The sequence below is a fragment of the Homo sapiens genome, chromosome 9 (assembly GCF_000001405.40).
Source record: "Homo sapiens chromosome 9, GRCh38.p14 Primary Assembly".
NCBI classification, from domain to species: Eukaryota; Metazoa; Chordata; class Mammalia; order Primates; family Hominidae; genus Homo; species Homo sapiens.
Genome location: NC_000009.12, coordinates 77,413,192 through 77,434,557, shown reverse-complemented (window position 1 = coordinate 77,434,557; position 21,366 = coordinate 77,413,192). Strand labels below are relative to the sequence as shown.

At 41.8% G+C, this 21,366-nt stretch overlaps 2 protein-coding genes across 4 annotated transcripts in view; one reads left to right on the top strand and one right to left on the bottom strand.

Moving 5' to 3' along the window:
• The window catches only part of GNA14 (G protein subunit alpha 14), a 225,244-nt gene extending 213,765 nt beyond the window's left edge, over positions 1-11,479 (top strand). For both annotated transcript variants that reach the window (NM_004297.4, XM_047424110.1), the window contains 5 exons: positions 36-190; positions 3,109-3,237; positions 5,522-5,651; positions 8,843-8,996; positions 10,389-11,479. In NM_004297.4, coding sequence (NP_004288.1) covers positions 36-190; positions 3,109-3,237; positions 5,522-5,651; positions 8,843-8,996; positions 10,389-10,579 — 759 coding nt within the window. In that variant the 3' untranslated portion in view covers positions 10,580-11,479. The remainder of the gene's footprint in view (positions 1-35; positions 191-3,108; positions 3,238-5,521; positions 5,652-8,842; positions 8,997-10,388) is intronic.
• The window catches only part of VPS13A (vacuolar protein sorting 13 homolog A), a 244,004-nt gene continuing 235,658 nt past the window's right edge, over positions 13,021-21,366 (bottom strand). For both annotated transcript variants that reach the window (NM_033305.3, NM_001018037.2), the window contains one exon: positions 13,021-18,602. In NM_033305.3, coding sequence (NP_150648.2) covers positions 18,552-18,602 — 51 coding nt within the window. In that variant the 3' untranslated portion in view covers positions 13,021-18,551. The remainder of the gene's footprint in view (positions 18,603-21,366) is intronic.

Genomic DNA, 21,366 nt, shown 5'->3' with positions numbered 1-21,366 from the left:
TTTGCCTGATGCAAGGTTCTCTTTCCTTTGAGTAGGAAAATGCCCAGATAATCAGAGAAGTGGAAGTGGACAAGGTCTCCATGCTCTCCAGGGAGCAGGTGGAGGCCATCAAGCAGCTCTGGCAAGATCCAGGCATCCAGGAGTGTTACGACAGGAGGAGGGAGTACCAGCTGTCGGACTCTGCCAAATAGTGAGTACAGAGCCCACCCTGGCCGCCCGCGGTGCTTTCAGGCAAGCTCGGCCACACTTCAAAGAAGTTTCTCGCTGAACGCTGCTGAAATGCGGTGCACAGTGGCAGCGCTACTTGCCTTTGCTTTCCCATATCCCTCCTGACCTCTTAGTGCCATCTCTCACCACCTCCTAAAGCCCTCGGTCACTCTGTGGATCGCAGACCTCTCTTCCTGCCGACACCCGCCTGCTCTTGCTGTGTTCTAAGCCTGTCGTTTTCAATGAGAGACTCAAATCAAATCTGAGGTCCCTTAAGTGGGACTGATCTCCTTAGGAGTGCTGAAATTATCTGATTTAAACAAGAAATACCCTTGCTTTTGGCTTCTACTTTCCTCCTCTCTATATCCCTCTGCCTTTCTGGTTTCCCCATCAGAAGACAGCAGGTCCAATTGCGCTAAAATCTAAAGTCAAGTTTAGAGCAGCGGGGCCGTGGACCCATCAGCTGCTGATCTGGTGCTGTCCTCTAGTGGCACAGATAGGAGGCTGCGCTCGCAGCACACACAGGAAGCTCAATCCTTTGTTTATTGGCTGCCTGCGAAGGCCTACACACTGTATTTTGGATCCATACAGCTCAATTTTTAATTCATTAATCCTTGAAGGTAAAAAGATTTCTATTTAGATGTCCCAGCATGCAAACTGTCCCATAGAGATGACAGATTTTCACTTTCTTGGGCATTTCCTGTTCACATCTGTAATCCCAGGGACTTGGGAGGCAGAGGTGGGAGGATCGCTTGAAACCAGGAATTCGAGACTAGCCTGGGCAGCAGAGCAAGACCTCGTCTCTGCAAAAATTACAAAAATTAGCTGGGCAGCTGCTCGGGAGGCTGAGGCGGGAGGATGTCTTGAGCCTAGGAGGTTGAGGTTGCAATGAGCCATGATTACACTCCTGCAGTACAGCCTGAGTGACAGAGTGAGACTCTGTCTCAAAAAAAAAGAAAATGTAAATAAATAAATAAATAATAATATCCCGGGGCAATGCCTCCTCAGTCTGGTCACCGGGTAAATAGTTTGATATGGGTCCTTCTTAAAGTGGCAATAACTCCTGCTTCTGCAGCTCAGCTCTTTCACACCTGTCCCGTATCATCTTCCATCCTCTGAGGGCTCAGAAATCCCTTCCCCAGACGTACCTCCTTCCCTTTGGGTGCCACTGTCACCCTCTGAGCAGGCATTGAGCTGGACAAGGCATTGGGCAGGAAAGAAAGCCAGAAGTGTCACCTCCTGTGGTTTCAATGGGCTTCCTTTGGTGTTTATCCCGGGCTGAGAATTGAATGTCATTAATCCAGGTTGGCACAACCAATCTAAGTACAGGAATGTTTAGATGCAAAAAAGCATCAAGGCAGGAAAATACAGAAACCCCACTGAGGTGTTAGATCAGCATAGAGAGGTGGAAGAAAGAAAGAGTGCCATGGAGGAGGGCTTGCCTTTGACAGCTCGAGGAGCCAGGAACAGGTACGACGTTCCTGAGCCATACCTGAGGTGGCCTGAGTTACCTGCCTCTGTGAAGGCCTGGGGATTGGCTAGGGCTCTTGATGTAGATCCATTTGGAAAAGATCCACCAGACCTGCTACAGAATTCAGTGTAACCCTGAAAACCATGGGGGCAAGGCCACTGACATGGACGAGGGGCGTGGCTAGGGTGGTGAGAGCTGTCACAGAGAAAACAGCCTCTCCTAAACCCAGTCGCCCAACCTTCCAAACCGGCAGGACTCAAGGCACTTGCACGTTTTCTCCATCTGGGCCAGCGGTTTTCAACCCCTCAGCTAGAGATGTCTGCTGATTGGACAATGTGATGAGTGCTTGTGATGCGCCAGGCACTGTGGTAAGGGCTGCAGGTATTATACAACCAGTGCTCTCTGCTCTCAGGGAATATACAGTCTGGTGGAGCAACTCAGGTGTAAATCAAATAATTACACATCAAAGTACAGCAAAAACAGTGATAAGCCCTGGGACTGTATCTGGGCAGAGAGGTGGGTTGTGGAAGGCTGCCCCAGAGCTTTGCTTCTGGAGCTGAAGGCATACGGTGAACAGGGTTTGCCTGTGACCTCTTGGTTAGCCTGCATGCGGACCTGCTCAGCCCCTGATGCGGTGCTGGGACAGGGCAGGGCCGACCTCAGCATGCAGCGGGCTCTGCATCTACAACTCTTTTGTTAGCGAGGGCCTGAGTTACAGTTATTTTACCTAAAAGTGTCTTTTAGAAAGGCCTTAAAGTTTTTTTTTTTTTTAAAGGATTCTCTTATTTTACTACAGAAAAAAAAAATATGTTTTAAGCTCAGGGCTTCAATATATGGCCAAAAATAAGTTAAGGCAAGTTTTGGGTTATTTTAGGAGATGTAGTTTCCCAGTGTCTTCAAGAGGAAAACTTGTTCTTGTTGCTGTTGTTTTGAATTTCTCCTCGGCCTGTTTTACGCCTGTGTATTTTCTTAGAAACTATTTAATTCATTGAGCAAAGCTTTAGAGAACAGCATCTCCATTATATAATGCTCTTGGACAAGGGTGAGTGGGAGGGAGAAGGGGCTCTGGAGGGAGGATGACAGATGGGGTGTTGGAGAGAGCCATTTCCAACATCCTGGTCCTTCCAGCCCCACTGTCTCCCTCGCTGGTCAAATAGAAGCGATAGAGCTTAGAACCCAGGAGGAAGAGACGGAGTGCTCTGCAGATGTCCCAGAAGGCGCATGGAAGTCCTTCTGACCCATATTGTCTTCAAAACAGTCGTAGGAAGGATGGAGAAGCCTGGCCTGGCACTGGCTCTCAGGAAAGTCATTGATGGAATTCGTGTGTCTGTGTGGGGCTCACTGTGAGTGGGGGGTGACTTCCTTTGAGTAGGATGGACATTTCCCCCTGCTCTAAAAGGAGAGTCAGTTCCTCGTTCTCTAATATACAGTTACCTGACTGACATTGACCGCATCGCCACACCATCATTCGTGCCTACCCAACAAGATGTGCTTCGCGTCCGAGTGCCCACCACCGGCATCATTGAGTATCCATTTGACTTGGAAAACATCATCTTTCGGTAAGTCTGTCTCCCTGATGTACCATGAAGAATCTGCCCAGGCTTGGAAGTCCCCAGGTGGATTCTTAAACGTGTTATTCCTAAGCAGGGATTATATCTCTTAGGACAGAGTGACCCTCTCTGCCAAGGGTATTTAGAATTGTGGTAGGTAGGTCTCAACCCTGGAATGGAGAGGAAGTCACCTTCCTGTTACCCTTGGAGAAAAAGGGTTTCCTTACTGGAAACTGGAATGATTCTTATGTGTAACACACACTCATACACACACACACACACACACACACACACACACACACACAAATGTATACTTCTGTATCCCACAAATTGAATGTAGTGATTATCGATGTCTTTTCCTTAAAGATGAATCATATTTCCTTTCTCCTCTATTTCCTTCTCCAAGATTTATCCTTAGAAAATTAAGGATACAAAAAATGTGTATGAAAACTGTGAAGAATAATATGTACAAACTAACAGCTGTGTAAAAATGTATGCATTTCCACTTACAAATATAGGAAATACTTTTAGGATGACTTAGTGAATCTTCACTGCATTTAGTTATGGTAAAAAATGAATAATAATATAGGGCATATATGTAGCACTGCACATTTCAAAGCACTTTTATATCCACTGTTTCCCTTGTTCCTCCTAACAATTATCACACACGATTTTCTAGTTGAGACAACACATCAGTCCTCCCACATCCGGGTCCTGTCTGATCCCCAGTTATAGCTCAGTGCTTCTCTCTCCAGAATTGCTGTGTTTGGGAAGCCCTCAGGTCCAGCCCCTCAAACATGTCCCCCATCTATATTAGCATATCCCTGATTTTAATAGTAGCCCTCTGTGCCTGTGTGCCCATGAATTTCTCTAAACCTTTTCACAATTAACTGCTTTTTGCAATGTCCAAAACCTCTCAGACTCCCAAGGATTTTGTTTATTCGTTTTGTTTTAAAAAATACTTTTATTTCTTCTAAGTTTATCCTTCTTGGACTGCGATGAATGGGTTTTGCATTACTTTCTAGAGGCTGGTGAATGGGTTTAACATCATCCACCAGTGAAATCTATTACTTTACAACTCAGAGCACCTCTCCCAGTGGGATATTTCTGGCTGAAAAATTCCGATCTTTGAAATTGAGGCTTTTATAGAATGGCTTCTTCAAGCTCAACCTTTTGACAATTGCAATGTCCTGTTTCAAGATCGGTTCCCTGCTGTGATAGCCAGCCATGAACATGTCATTGTGGGAGTGGCTGCACCTCCAGGACATGGTTCAAGAACAGTATTGAATTTTTCATTTTCCTTCCTGCACTTTTCCAGACAACAGTTCTGGGTGGTTGGCCTGTGGACCACCTAACCACAATGACCCAGTGCCTTCAGGGACTGGTGTGTGTGTGTGGTGGGGTGGTGATGTAGGGGTGGGTGGGGGTTACTTGGCAGCTGTATCTGGTCCATTATGTATTTTCTTTGGCTCACTTGGTGTTACTAAAAAAACGTTTGAGCTAACACATTGGATACCTTGTTTCTCCTGAAAAGGCAGAGACTGTGGTCATGGCAAGCCTGCGTCTTGTTCTGCAGAGCTTGGCTGCAGGTACGCGGCAGGCTTCCCTGTAGACAGGGCCCCCGGCTGTTGTGCCATGTATGTTTTGTACTTTGGGGAGCCCACTTGGCTCATTCCCATAAACTGCCTGATTCTTGTAGCATTTGAGCTCATGATCCCTGGGCTAGGAGTTGCTGAAATTTTTCCCAAAGACACAGATATAGAGGCTTTGGATTTCTGTACTGGACAGAGGACACTTGTAGGTTTTTATAGGGAACAAGAGGTGGCATCCAGGGAATGCAGAAAGGATTTACAGGTAAGTTAGAGGAGCCACAAAAACAGAATAGGCTCGGGTCCTGAAGCCAGCCTGGGAGACCCGGAAGACAGCTGGCCGCTGCGTCCCTCTTGAGTCTGGTATCCAGGGACTCTACAGTGGTTGTCACAGAACCCAAGTGAACGTTTGCGTTTTCTGTCTGGACACTGGTTAGCTTCCTAACCGGCAGGCTCCCTGAGTCACCTCTGCATGTCTTCAGAAATGTCATTTACATTCTCTCCCTTCTTTGCTAGGAAACATCCAGTGGTCCCTCATTGCTTAAAGCAGCAGCATCAAACATTTTAAAACTTAGAACCTCTTTTCTCTCTTAGAAATTACTGAGGACTCCAAGAGCACTGGTTTCCATGCTATAATTCATGTCCTTTTTCCCCGAAGTGTCATGTATTCCAACCTTTGAAGGATCTGTGTTTCTACACAACAGGATGGTGGATGTTGGTGGCCAACGATCGGAAAGACGGAAGTGGATTCACTGCTTTGAGAGTGTCACCTCCATTATTTTCTTGGTTGCTCTGAGTGAATATGACCAGGTCCTGGCTGAGTGTGACAACGAGGTATGCTGGGCGGGAAGTTTGGGTAGCTGTGGAAGCCAGAGCCTATTCTGTGGTTTCTAAGAAGGCAGCCGGGTCAGGAAATAGACCCTCGTCATTAGGTCAAACAGTCTTGCTACTCAAAGTGTGACCTGTGGACCAGCAGCACAGGCATCACCTGCATGGCTTGTTAGAAATGCAGTCTTACTGAATCAACCCCGACCAACTACATCAGCATCTGCATTTTAACAAGAACCCAGGTAATTCAAATACATATGAAAGGCTGAGAATCACGGGCCTGGAACCTGGGTTCTAAACTTGAATGCACACTGGAGTTTGCTGAGGGACTTAACAAAAACCTGGTGCCTGAGTCCAACCCCAGAGATTCTGAATGAATTGGTGGTGAATGGGGCCTGAGTGGGGGGATTTTTAAAAAGCACCCCAGGTGAATCCACTGTGCTGCTAAGGTCGGAACCTATTCAAAAGCCTAGGTTCTCATCCTTGGTGGCACAGTGGAATCTCTTGGCGAGGTTTTTAAAAATGCCATCTCTTGGCTGGGCACGGTGGCTCACGCCTGTAATCCCAGCACTTTGGGAGGCCGAGGCAGGTGGATCACGAGGTCAGGAGATCGAGACCATCCTGGCTAACGTGGTGAAACCCCGTCTCTACTAAAAAATACAAAAAATTAGCCGGGCGTGGTGGTGGGCGCCTGTAGTCCCAGCTATTCAGGAGGCTGAGGCAGGAGAATGGCGTGAACCCGGGAGGCGGAGCTTGCAGTGAGCCGAGATCGCACCACTGCACTCCAGCCTGGGCAACAGAGCGAGACTCCATCTCAAAAAAAAAAAAAGAAAAAAAAAAAGAAAAAATGCCATCTCTTGGACTGAACACTAAAAATTCATATTTACTGGGTTTAGGTTGAGGCTTCTTTTGAGAGCCCACCAGGGATTCTACTGCACAACCAATGCCGAGCAGCACTATCTCTAAAACACTTTACCTGGGCACAGGCTTCCTAACCTCCATAGGCCCATGGTGCTCCCAAATTAGATCCCTAGTGGAACTGGGGTGGGCAGTGGTGCTAGATGCTTGGAGCTGTTCTGGGGCTGTCTGGGATTGCATCTGCCTTCACGTCTCCTGGGAGGGACTCCCTCAGGGCAGCTGGGATGGATCCAGCCTGGTCAGGCATGCGTTGTCCCCTCAGAGTGGCCATAGCACTGGCTGCTTCCAATTCCATCAGTGGGAGCTGCCCTGAGAGTGAAGAGGACCCTCACAGCCACTTCTCTGTCAGGTTGGGGACAGTATCGGTGGAACACTCATGTCCTCCTCGTCATCTTTTCCCCTGAACTTGCATTAAGACCTCTTGACCTTTTAAAAAATGTCTTTTGTTTCCAAGGCGTGAAAGTAAATCAATAAAGGACTCAGTCCAGGATTAGGCAATAACTGAACAAATTGTATCTTGTATTTCTTGAGAGCACACTTTTCTCTGAGGAGCATAGCTTATATTACCTAATTAGTGGAGGATTAACCCATTTAATTGTGTCATTGTGCAAAGAACGGAAATGCTGGCTGTCGCCCAGCCCTCTCAGTTGGAGATTTTTTTTTTTTTTTTAAAGGCAAGACATTCAGTTATCAATATAAAAAAAATAGCTGCAAATTTGTTTCAGGAATTATTTGTGACGTTCCTCAGGAAACTCAAACGATTAGTAAGGTGCACAAGGGACCAGTATCTCAGCCCAAAGTGCTTAGAAATTAAACATTTTCTCTTCTAAAAATCACAAAATATTTGGAGAAAAATTAAGTGGTTGCCACTCCAGACTTTCCCCTCCTGGTTGTAGATATGTATTATATCCACTCTGTATACTGTCTGGGAAGTTTTCATATATTTTATTTCCTTGGAGATCATTATCATTCAGATCATAATAATTTTAAAGCTTTAATACATTCCAGATCGTAATTCCCCCAATGCGTACTGAGTGGCAGAACAAACCTGGGTGTCTGGAAGTTGTGGGGAAAGAGTGATTTATGGCGTGTCCCTCTTGAGTGTGTGTGCTGAGCTTGGATGTTTTTCACTGTGATCCCTTCCCTCCCTACAGGGAAGTTCTTGTTTCTTTCCTCTTAGAAATACTTGAGAAAGAGCAGAATGCTATCTAGAACAATTATTGTCACAGATAAGATTTGTTTGTGCCCTGTCTGTTCTCAGTAAATTAGGAGCATTTAATATCTTCTTGCCAATGTCTAACATTTAGAAATTATCACTGTCTTTCTACACAACCTTCCCCAGGTCCCACTATTACATGGGCTTGGGAAAGTTATTTGAATGTTCTAAACAAGGCCAGGCGCGGTGGCTCATGCCTGTAATCCCAGCACTTTGGGAGGCCGAGGCGGGCGGATCGCGAGGTCAGGAGATTGAGACCATCCTGGCTAACACGGTGAAACCCCGTCTCTATTAAAAATACAAAAAATTAGCCGGGTGTGGTGGTATGCACCTGTGGTCCCAGCCACTCGGGAGGCTGAGGCAGGAGAATCACTTGAATGCAGGAGCTGGAGGTTGTAGTGAGCCGAGATCGCGCCACTGTACTCCAGCCTGGGCGACACAGCGAGACTCCATCTCAGAAAGGAAAAAAAAAAAAGTTCTGAACAACAGTATGGTCACCCATCAAACGGGCCACTGCTCTGCTTGTAAAGTGTGGCACAGGGTGGGTTCCCAGTAGCAGTGCGTCCTGTCTCTGCCAACTTCTAGCATTCCTAGGGCCAGTGGCCTTGCTGGAAGAGCCTTGTCACTTGACTGCTGAGGCCCAGTCTGGAAGCCCATAACCAACTGAGGTGGCCGTGTCAGGTCTGAAGCTGGCACTTCCCCACTTAGTAATCCCAACGATCACATGACACAGGAAACTTGTGAAACGTGGGTAGGAACCTTCCTTTTCCAAGCTGCACCAAAGCCTTTCTTACTTCGTTCCATGTGAGTTTTGGGCTGGAGAAGAGCTGGGATGCTACAGGAGAGGGGACCCAGAAGGGGATGGTTAGTAAGAGGCTTGGGGAGGGGCAAACAGAAGCAGGAGGCCTGTAGCCTGGGGCCCCACATGCTCACCAGCTTCAGCAGACAGTGGCCCAGAGACTGCGGCGGGGCAAGGGAAGAGATGGATGGACTGGCAATGCGCCATGTTGTTTCCAAAATATTTCCTTTCTACTTCATCCCAAGTCCCTTGTTTTTCACTTAGAATCGCATGGAAGAGAGCAAAGCCTTATTTAAAACCATCATCACCTACCCCTGGTTTCTGAATTCGTCTGTGATTTTATTCTTGAACAAGAAGGATCTTTTGGAAGAGAAAATCATGTACTCTCATCTAATTAGCTATTTCCCAGAATACACAGGTAAGTGTCTATCTTGTGGACAGTGTTTTCTGTGCTGATCTCGTCCACCTCCCGGGCATCAGTCTAGAGTTATCACGGCTCAAAGGGGCCTCCCTGGTCTGCCTGCAATAGCCTCTCCCCCTATTCCCACCTTCAAACAGAAGCTCTAGTTGCACCATTGTTGTGTTTTCACCACAGCACCTCCACATGTGCTTCCCTCAGTGCTTGGAATACCCTTACCAACTCCTTTCGCTGCCTCCATGTTGTTCTCCAAAACCCAGCAAAGGCCTCCCCTTCTCTGGGAGCCTTTCTGGCTTCCCCTGCCCATCTGGTCTGCAGGAAGGGTGCCTCCTCCTTTCTGCTCCCTCAGCAGCCTAACCCCTGCTTGCTCTCTTGGCCACATCATGCTATGTCATATCCTCTGCTCACTCAGCTCTCTTCCCAGTCGGCTCCATGAGGGTAGAGACTCTGCTTGATTTATCTGTGCATTCCTCATGCCAGTCAGAGCACCTGGTGCTTCTTATGTGTATGTTAGAGTGTGGCATCCCTTTTCCCAGACACATGGTGGACTCACATAACCTGTCCAAGGTAGGAGAGTCTCATGCCCTGTTGCTAATTGTTTCTGGTACAGGAGGTCTCAAACCTTAAGTTTGACACTGATATTTAGTGGATTCATGTTTTAGCACTCTTCTTTCCCCTTTTACTAACCATACTGGCTGTGTAGTGTAGCACCCTCGAGCTTTAAAATCAGCCTGATGTTAGTTCCCACATTCTTCCTTTTATCTCTCCTAGACCAGAGCTGTCTGTCCATATGTGTTAGCCAGGATTACTTCTCTTCAATAGTGGTCCAAATCAGACAAATTGGGTCACTATGTTTAAACAAATCACTGTAAAGTACAATTTTTAGATACCAGAGGACATTTTAAAATATGACTATTTTATGGGTTCATGATGAGATACCATAAAAATAATGCTCCAGGTAAACCGTTCCCTGGAAATAAAGATGGATCAAAGCAGGATCTCAAATAAGAACAAGAATACATTAAAAAATGGTTCTTGGGGCCAGGCACGGTGGCTCACGCCTGTAATCCCAGCACTTTGGGAGGCCAAGGCAGGTGGATCACCTAAGGTCAGGAGTTCGAGACCAGTCTGGCCAACATGGTAAAACCCCGTTTCTACTAAAAATACAAAAATTAGCTGTGTGTGGTGGTACGCATCTGTAATCCCAGCTACTTGGGAGGCTGAGGCAGGAGAATTGCTTGAACCCCAGAAGCAGAGGTTGCAGTGAGCTGAGACCGTGCCACTGCACTCCAGCCTGGGCTACAGAGCGAGACTCTGTCTCAAAAAAAAGGTTCTTGGGAGGACATGGTGTTAAGTCTGTGTCTTTATTCCTGTAATTGCACTTGTGACTAGGACCGAAACAGGATGTCAGAGCTGCCAGAGACTTTATCCTGAAGCTTTACCAAGATCAGAATCCTGACAAAGAGAAAGTCATCTACTCTCACTTCACATGTGCTACAGATACAGACAATATTCGCTTTGTGTTTGCTGCTGTCAAAGACACAATTCTACAGCTAAACCTAAGGGAATTCAACCTTGTCTAAAAGCTGCTGCCCACTCCTCCCCTATAACAGAAGATGTGATTTGCAAACTCCTTGTTTTATTTGCAAGTGCTTCTGACATCACCAGAGCCAGCCCCATGCCAGGAACTAAGGATGTCATGTAGATCGTGGGGACAGAGATGGGTGATGGAACTTGGAAGATATTTGAGTTTACCAACATACTTTAAAAGTCCTTACATCCCAAATTGTGTTTATAATTATTTTCTTGACTTTTGGCTATAAGATTTTGTGTAATTTTTGAATTTGGTGTTTTCTAGAATTTTTAAAAGCCACTTTGATTTAGTTTTAAATATGTTTAAAAATAGCGATTAAAATTATGTAAGCAAGGAGCCTGTTAGTTTATAGATCATGCCTTCAAACCTCTAGAGTTAATTTGGGTGACTTTTTTAAAAATAAGAATGTTAATGGGTTTGAAGCTTTTTATTAAACCTTGTAATTTAGAGACATTTTTAATTGTGTTTCTCACCTCATGCTGAAGGGTGACTCCTTTAACATGCCACCAAAGATTTTTTTTAAACACTTGGTTCTTTTTGTGTGTTAACTTTCTAAGCCAAATTAATGGATATATAAGTATATCTAATTTAGCTTTGCCACAGTTTGATCACCAAGAAGCCAAAGCTGACATAGAGTAAATGGGCTCTAGATAGCATATATGTTTTATTGGTGAAAAATGTGTGTGTGTGCACGTGTGTGTGTGTGTACATTTTTACCCCCAATGTATATGACCAGATCTTAAAAATGTATGAAATGGCTAGAAGTCCACATTGTTTGACAAATGTTACGTAACCCTGCCAAAGTTCTGATGGCCACCACAGATTTGCTGTTTGAATTATGTATGCTGTGCCTTTCTGAGGAGGCTAAGAATATACCATTCTGCTATTAGCACTGGGTTATGTTGTGTTTCTTAGAGCTCATGGTTGACTGATGGTTCTGCTCCTAAACAGAAAAATGCTGTGGCCTTAATAGTAACTCGGAAACTTTCCTAAGATTCCTCCTTTCAAGGCAAGTCTGCGCATCATCGTGTCATGCTGCAGTTCCCTCAGTAGCTGGCTGGGTCAAGCAGAAGGAGAATCCTCTGGGAATTAAGAGTGCTCCACACTAAAGGCCAAGATGGTTTTGTGCATGTGTGCACACATGTGTGTGCACACACACATACACCATTTGGGGACGTAAGGTATGAAATATCTGTCTCAAATCAGTCTATAAAATGCACCTCGGTTGGCTACATATGTTATGGAACCATGTGTCCCCATTCTGTGGGAACAATTCCAATTGCTGAAAAAGACTGAAATTATTCTGATATGCAGCAATTCTACAATAGCAACATCTAGCTTTAAAAATATGAATCCTCACTCAAGAGATAAATGCAATAGCAACAGCTTTTGTGGAAGTTCACAAATTGATGTTAAAATTTATCTAGAACAGTAAAGTCCAGAAATAGCCGAGACAGTTTTGCGTGAGAACAGAGAGAGGGGAATGGAGCTCTTTAGGATATCTAGAAGCACAAAGAAAATACAAGACAATTCCCCTCCCCACCAACGATGGGCTAAAGGCTATGGACTGGGTTTCACTAGCCAATTAACATAAAAAGGGTTCAACAGAATCCAGTCATCTGGGAAATTAAACCATGAAGAATTCCATTTCTTATTTTAAGCACTTTCTTGCATTGAGTTTTTGTTAATTTATAGTTGGCTGACTACTTAAAGCATATAAGAAAATGATGGCTTTCCATATCCTGGTTGTGGGAGGGCTGTTAAATAAGTCATTCAAAGGGTGGTAACAATATTTTCTTAAGGCATGGAAAGGCTAGACTCTCAATGTCAGAGGTGAATTAATTACCTCTGCCAATACTGATTCTGCTGGTAGAAAATTCTCTCCTGGCCCTTCATTCAATATTCTCATTACTTACTGGGGAAATGAGTCATGCGGAGTTTTCTAAGGTTAAGAGACAGAATGTCGGTGGTTAAGAATTCACTAGGTCGAGACAATCCTGGCCAACATGGTGAAACCCCATCTCTACTAAAAAAAAAAAAATACAAAAATTAGCTGGGCGTGGTGGCACACACCTGTAGTCCCAGCGACTCGGGAGGCTGAGGCAGGAAGATCACTTGAACCTGGGAGGTGAACGTTGCAGTGAGCCGAGATCGTGCCACTGCACTGCAGCCTGGTGACAGAGCAATACTGTCTGTCTCAAAAAAAAAAAAAAAAAGAGAATTTACTAGGTACTATACCACCCCAAGCTTTTAGTCAGCAATGATCATGCTGGGCTGGAATGTCGCCTGCTTTGACTGAAAAATCAGGACCTTGGGCAATCTGTTATTCACATTTGTTTCAGCCCCAAAGAGGGTGGAATTTATATAGGCAAGGGAAGGGTATTAATAATGTTTCTAGTTCTATCAAAAAACTAAAAACAGAAGCAGACCAAAGATCAGAAATCTTTATTTGACAAAGGTATACATGGTGAAAATGGGCAGTCATCTTACCATGCAATCCAAATCTACCAATACCAAGAAATGCTTATTGTTAAGAAAAAAAATCATTAGTGAGCATGGCCAACCAATTTTTAGAGAGAGGAATAAAAGAATAAGATTAGTTTCAAAAGGAAGAACTTCACTGTAAATATCTGTGTTTATAAATTATCTTAGAATACACAAAACCAAGGCAGAGGCTGTGTAACAGGCAACTGAGCCAAGCACACATAAAAGAGGGATGAGGAACAGAAAAGTGTAGGAAATCCTGCAGCGATGCAGAAATAGATATTTTTAAAATTATCATAATCAATGACCGTATTTTCATCAAAGAAAGAATAAGCATTCCAAAGCAGCACAGGCTATTTCATCAATTTAAAAAACTAGCAAGAGAAAGTATTTTTAAAGTGCACTTTTCCTGAAAAATTCATTTTTATATGTAATACACAGTCACATACAGAGATAATTATTTCTAAAATTCTGTAACAGTTTATCTGACCTTGTAACAAGTTCCAGATACCATTCCTAATAGTTTGTGTGGATATTAAATCATTGATACTGAAAATATTTCAGTGTAATCTATGCTACATTTTTACTTGAATGTTTTTCAGCCTAAGAACTGGGAACTTTTGAGTAACAAACTGAACACCGGAGGTATGACGGCATAACAGGAAATGTTGGGATTTTCCAACATGTTCTATTTTAATTATACTTCTGATTATTTGATATCTCATTATACCAATCTCACAGGGTTTCTTGTTACAAGGACTTCATTAGAAGGAATACATTATTAACATATCAGAGTAACACTAAATGAATAGTTCAATGACAGACAGGGATTTTCTATCATAGCAGTGTGATATCTATCATCATAGCAGGTGTTAAACTATAATATAAATTAATTTGTATTTGTATAAAGTAATAAAAACTTTAAAAATATACCCATATCAACCTAAAAAATTGAAGTTATATTTCTTGTATAGCTTTTTGGGTAACCAAAATAATTTTTTTTTTGAAAATGCCATAATGCTTTAAAAAAAGAACTAATCTGTAATTCTAAAGTAAAAAATTTTTTAAATGACATGGAAAAATTTACAAAAGAGGAAATATAAAGTAGAAAAAGGTTTCAATAAAAGAAACATGAGTGAGGTTTGTAATAGAGTAGGATTCTGCATCTTCTCAATGTGCTGGCCTTGCTTTTTGGATAGTCCTGAAACAAATACTACTTTAGACCAATTATGACAGTGGGAGAAAAGTTTGCTGTAACAGCCAGAGTGGCCAAAAATTGACAGTACAGATTACAAGAATCAAAATTTTAACCGACAAATCCTAGCTTGATTAGGTTGCCATTAACAATAAGGTATAATTTCAAAAGTATACTTCAAAGGACTAAGGAGGGTGAATGGGTTTCCTTTTAGAGTTGCGCTATACTGAAAAGCACCAAAAAAAATCAGATTGACTAAGTCTGTATTGAGTCCTGCATACAGAATGTAAGTTATTTACATTTTCTACTTGGATCTTAAAGAAATGAGGAAATCCACTGTTTTTAGTAAAAAGTCATTGATATTTGCATAGCACCCCCCAGACACTGAATATTTTGGCCCTACCAGAATGTGCCCTACGTATTAGCTCCCCATTTTTAAAGGCCTTTGCCACCTGTATGGTGAATCAGCCAAAAGGTAGATGGTGCAGATTCAACGGACTCAAAAGGACAATGTATGTCCCCAGTTCTATTATAGTAAAATGCTTAGTGGTAAAGAGGTTAAAATACATCTAGGTAAACAAAAGACTATGGCCTTTTTTGGGTGCTGTGTGTGGATCTAATTTTTCTATGCTTTTTCTGGTCCCACTGAATCATGTGAGGTTGCCCGATACACAGCAGAGAAGAAAAATATTTTAGAAACCAAGAGTGATTCCATCTTCTCACTCAAAAGAAGAAGTGCTAAGCATCTCTAGACTTCCTGAGTTGTGGATCTGCTGCTCCTTATCTAAGGTCAGGCTCCACACAATCCAGACTCTTCCAACAATCACTGGATGGCCGGTGCCTCCTGCAGCAGTCTTTCAAGCTTTCTTTTTTTAAATTGCATTTCATAACAGGAAACACTTTATATTGTGACCCAGTATACACAGTAAATAGAATATTTAGCTGAAACAGTATTTCAGGAACCAATACTTAACCATTTTATATGCTCTATTGTTCCTCTATTTTTTATTATTTCACGTTTAAAATATACTGGTCTTGAGCTGTTAAGTTGATTTCATGACCCACTAATGAGTTAGGACTTACAGTGTGGAAAAACAGCATCCCTGAGGATTTGGGTTGATCCTGACAAAAGGTAACAAGCAATGCCCTGGAAGCCGAAAAGATTCCTCTGAACTGTGTTGGCTGAGCCATGAAAGCATCCACTGTCAATGTATTTGGTACACACTTTGAGCTTCTACAGGCAAACTAATCAAGTATTTTGTCCCAATCTTTTTAATACAGAGGCCTACATGAGGGGGCACTTGGCATAGCCTGAAGGATCAACTAATACTGGCAAGTGATAACTGAATAATTTAGGTGCAGGAAATTCAGCACTGTGTAGAGTCCTTTTAATTTAATCTTTCTTTTTACCAGAGAGTAATACGATGCTACTATGTGGGATGTTTCTAAGAGATGAGCTAGGTGCATAGATATTCAATGGAACAATATTACCGCTATTACTATTGGAAGAAATGAGAGAGATAATTATGATAGAAAATATCACGTAAGTAAGTGTAAGAAAGATTTATTCACTTGGAGGCCACAGGATAGTTGCCTCCAAATGGACTAGGATTGTGGAGGAGAGGGGTAGGTAAGAACTGTCTACAGGTGGTAATGATTGTTTAGGGTCCAGATAACAACAACTCAGCCACACTAAACTGACCTTGGGATTTTTGTGAACACTAAAGGAAAAGCAGCAAATATGTATACTCTAAAAGGGAAGACACTGGAGAACTGTATGTGCCTTTTGGCTCAGAGAGTATTTTGCAAATGTGAAGAAATCACAAGCTGCTTTTGATCACAAGTACCAGAAATCAAAGTCACTCTTTCTGATTATGATTTTCTGGTGGAGAGTTGGCAGGGAACAGGCACTCTGCCTTAGTCCTCACACAATTATCATAGACCAGAAGACATGCTGTGCTGGAATTAAGGGCCTAGTAATATAGTTAGTTAGCAAATAATACATGGAAGGGGCACAAGACTCAACACCTCTCATTCCATAGCCACTACCAAACAACTAAGACAAGCTTAAATTTCTCCAGCAGAGAGCCATTTCTTGTAGTTAAATGTAATTTAGGGCAGATGGTTTTCAAATACAAGAAGATTCTTATTCTAACCTTCAAGAAAAATGGGCTACAGAATCAAACAAAAACTGTAAATTGTAAAATGTGATGCTAAAAACACTGACTCATTATCTAGTGATCTACTGATTTCTTAGTGTTTTTGTTTAGATGAAGACAATCTTCTAAAACAACAAATGATATGATGTAGCTCTTAAAACTGTGGGTCCCTCTAGTCTAGAGACAAGGAAGTGATGGGAGGAGGTGATGAGTAAACGAGTGGCAGGGAAAGGAGAGATTTCACGGTTCTTATGGCAAGGGAACAGGAAAGACAGGCACTATCCTTTCCATGTGGATTAGTCACAAGACCCACTCCTGCTGGCTGCCAGAGGGCACCAGAAGAATTTCTATGTTTACTATTTATGTAAGGCTTTTCTACTTCACGACACTACACCCAGGGAGGCAGGGGACTGTAATTTTTCTGAGAATGGTGAAATCATAACATTGGGTAATGAAGTATTTCGTTTTGGATGAGGACAGTCTGATGCAAGCTTTCTGACTACCTCTACTGTTAAGTTTAATTCTGACAAAAGCAAAACTGGAGGAGCTTAGCGACAGAGAAAATAAGCACTTTTTTTTTTTTTTAAACAAAGGTCAACATGGAAACACACTTTCATGTGATTTTAAACTTGTGGTTTGATTCAATTTAAGTTCAGCAAAGAAAAAAGCATTTTGGGGGAAACTACTGAGAATAAACAATGTGTTTTAGTAATCAGAGAGAAATCAATAGCATTTAGTAGATTTGGTCAGCAAGAAATACAATTACAATATAGCATGCTGTTTATTTTAGCTTTTACAACAAAGCGAGGGTTTAAGGAGCCTGAGAAGAATTTCACAACTATTGACTATACAGAGTCTTCAATTCCAAAAACAGTTAATAGTAACTTGGTGGCACATACAACATGCATTGAATACTCTGTATTATTCAGTAACTAAATAGGATCCTGCATCATTCTCTTCACAGTTCACAATCATACATTCATTCTCTTTTACCTGAAACAGTCCATTAATATTAAGGTGCAAAGATCTTGGACAAAAACCAAGAAAGAAAACCTCATGTCCTTATTTTTACTAATGTATAGCTGATGATTTCTGTGATGAGCTGTAAATTTAAAAGCGTGACTCTCATTTGAATAACTGTAGAGTAAGCAAACCAGAAATTCTCAATCTATTGGCAACGGGACAGGTTATTGGGTTAGATTTTAGGGTACATAAACTTTATATGAGAGGGACTGTCTGTTGGAAGCATAATACACTATCTAAGATGTTGGGAATTGTGTTTATTCCATGTTAACAGTGAATGGAAAGTAGGCATTGTTAAGGCTTTAAAAATTCTCCTTTGATATTAGCAGTCTATTAAAAACATGACTTGGGTAAACCAAGTAGATCTCATGAAATAGGCTTGAGGAAATATTTCAAAGGCCCTAAAGTTCTGAAACAGACTTCCTTTTTTGAGTAGGATACTTATTTCTTTAAGGTTTCTTAAGGGGAGGCTTCAATCTATGTTATAAATTATATTTTAAAAGATTGTTTTTAATAATGCTATGCATTTTAAGTACAATTCAAACCTATCCTTTATATTAAAAAGGAAAATAATATCAAAATATTTATCTGGCAAAAGAACTTCATGATTCTGAAGAAACCACCACCAAAGTTCTCTTGATACCACTGAGGCAATGTTTGATTTCTTACCCATCACTCAGGGAGTTTGAAATAAGCATGACAGAAGTACAAAATGTGAACTAGAAACATTAAACTTGGCTCCATGTGGAGATGAATTATGGGCAGCCTCTCCACCATTACAGAGAAAAAGATGGAGCAAATACTTAAGATTCATAATTTTGTCTTCTTTTACAAAATAATTAGAATTATAAATAGATGCATGATTCAATTTAGAAAACCGGGTAATTGCTGAAGAATTAAAATATTTTAATCACATAGCTGTTTTACCTGATTCTGGTTTTGTTTTTTTGTTTTTGTTTTTTTGTTTGTTTTTGTTTTTTAGCATCCAGAATACAGGGTACTTGAAATCATTTCTGTAATATGCTTCCCAAACAGGTTTTGGAAGGTAGTCTAGGAGCTGTAATCACTTATTGCTGTGTGTCTTCAGGCAGTGTTCTCTGTCAGAGGCTCGGAGAAGGTTCTCTTGCTTCTTGTAGCTTTGTGAGGATCCACTGCGGTGGGAAAATAAATGAACATTTGCTTACTTCAGTGAACTTGTAATGAAACAAAATGTAATGAATGGAGATCTAGAAGTTAGCTTTATAGTTTAGTTAGGTGTAATACTGACAGCCAATACATAAAATTCATCCTGCAAAAGAGATCATTCACTTCAATGGCCCAGATGGCTCAGGGACAATAGTACTTGGTTTAATAGTAGGAATGCAGTTCTTCTAAGGTCTTTGGATGTTCATCTTCAGAATTAAGTGAAATGAGCCAGCCTGAAAGAAAAAAATTCCTTCCAATCTGTGCTGATTTTGTATCATGAACTTCCATAAATCCAGATACAGGATTCTACTAATGGAGTAGAAATACTTACACACAATTCCAGAGAGGGTAGTAGAAGCAACATTCTTGAGCATTTTAGGTGCTCTCACAATATATTTTCTATTCTAAAATAATTTGAAATTACAAAAATAAAATGTAAATGTAATACACAACCTTTCTACCAGTAATGTCTATTATTATTGGGCATGGATGACAGATAAAAGCCACGGAGGTGATACAGGGCTTATTCTAATATATAAAGATTTCACAGAGATGTTTGTACCTCTTTAACTTAAAAGAGCCTAGTAAGAATAGCCCTAAGATAGGGAGACAAAGATAACTGAATCCAGTAGCCTTCTCTGGATGTTCCTGGCCAAGCAGGAGGATTAAAAACAAACCTTCTGGGATAAAGTCAGTCACATGGTGAAGGAATTAAAAGAAAACTTTATTGCAGGTAAATTGAAACAGGTGGTACTGTCCTTCAGTGACATGAAAGAAGGTGGCCTAAAAGTCATGCTTATCTGTCTCCCTGTTCCAGGTGACAAGCATATGAAGACTGGTAACTTTATTCCTCTTTCTTTGTAACTTGCTCCTTTTGTGTTTTCCACTATTAGTGTGTCAGTGTCGCCTTATATCAGAATGTCTAGATAGAAAATTGCATAGGACATGTTAACTGGTCCAAGGTATGTGTATGAGACAGTGGGAGAGGCCCCTAGTTTGGGTTCAGATGTGACAGGTGAACTGGTAAACAGTCACCACAGCCAGGATCAACGCAGAGTGTTGTATGAGTGCAGGAGGCCAGGGATCTCTTCTGAGTCTGGCCAGGAGGCCCAGGGATCAAGTATAGGAGAAATGTCCTCTTACTCTAAGTTTTTATTATTATTATTATTATTATTATTATTAATTATACTTCAAGTTTTAGGGTACATGTGCACAACGTGCAGGTTAGTTACATATGTATATATGTGCCATGTTGGTGTGCTGCACCCATCAACTCGTCATTTAACATTAGGTATATCTCCTAATGCTATCCCTCCTCCCTCCCCCCATCCCATAACAGGCCCTGGTGTGTGATGTTCCCCTTCCTGTGTCCATGTGTTCTCATTGTTCAATTCCCACCTATGAGTGAGAACATGCAGTGTTTGGTTTTTTGTCCTTGTGATAGTTTGCTGAGAATGATGGTTTCCAGCTTCATCCATGTCCCTACAAAGGACATGAACTCATTATTTTTTATGGCTGTATAGTATTCCATGGTGTATATGTGCCACATTTTCTTAATCCAGTCTATCATTGTTGGACATTTGGGTTGGTTCCAAGTCTTTGCTATTGTGAATAGTGCCGCAATAAACATATGTGTGCATGTGTCTTTATAGCAGCATGATTTATAATCCTTTGGGTATATACCCAGTAATGGGATGGCTAAGTCAAATGGTATTTCTAGTTCAAGATCCCTGAGGAATCGCCACACTGACTTCCACAATGGTTGAACTAGTTTACACTCCCACCAACAGTATAAAAGTGTTCCTATTTCTCCACATCCTCTCCAGCACCTGTTGTTTCCTGACTTTTTAATGATCACCATTCTAACTGGTGTGAGATGGTATCTCATTGTGGTTTGGATTTGCATTTCTCTGATGGCCAGTGATGTGAGCATTTTTTCATGTGTCTTCTGGCTGCATAAATGTCTTCTTTTGAGAAGTGTCTGTTCATATCCTTCACCCACTTTTTGATGGGGCTGTTTTTTTCTTGTAGATTTGTTTGAGTTCATTGTAGATTCTGGATATTGGCCCTTTGTCAGATGAGTAGATTGCAAAAATTTTCTCCCATCCTGTAGGTTGCCTGTTCAATCTGATGGTAGCTTCTTTTGCTGTGCAGAAGCTCTCTTTAGTTTAATTAGATCCCATTTGTCAATTTTGGCTTTTGTTGCCATTGCTTTTGGTGTTTTAGACATGAAGTCCTTGCCCATGCCTATGTCCTGAATGGTATTGCCTAAGTTTTCTTCTAGGGTTTTTATGGTTTTAGGTCTAACATTTAAGTCTTTAATCCATGTTGAATTAATTTTTGTATAAGGTGTAAGGAAGGGATCCAGTTTCAGCTTTCTACATATGGCTAGCTAGTTTTCCCAGCACCATTTATTAAATAGGGAATCCTTTCCCCATTTCTTGTTTTTGTCAGGTTTGTCAAAGATCAGATGGTCGTAGATATGCGGCGTTATTTCTGAGGGCTCTGTTCTGTTCCATTGGTCTATATCTCTGTTTTGGTACCAGTACCATGCTGTTTTGGTTACTGTAGCCTTGTAGTATAGTTTGAAGTCAGGTAGCGTGATGCCTCCAACTTTGTTCTTTTGGCTTAGGATTGACTTGGCGATGTGGGCTCTTTTTTGGTTCCATATGAACTTTAGTTTTTTCCAATTCTGTGAAGAAAGTCATTGGTAGCTTGATGGGGATGGCA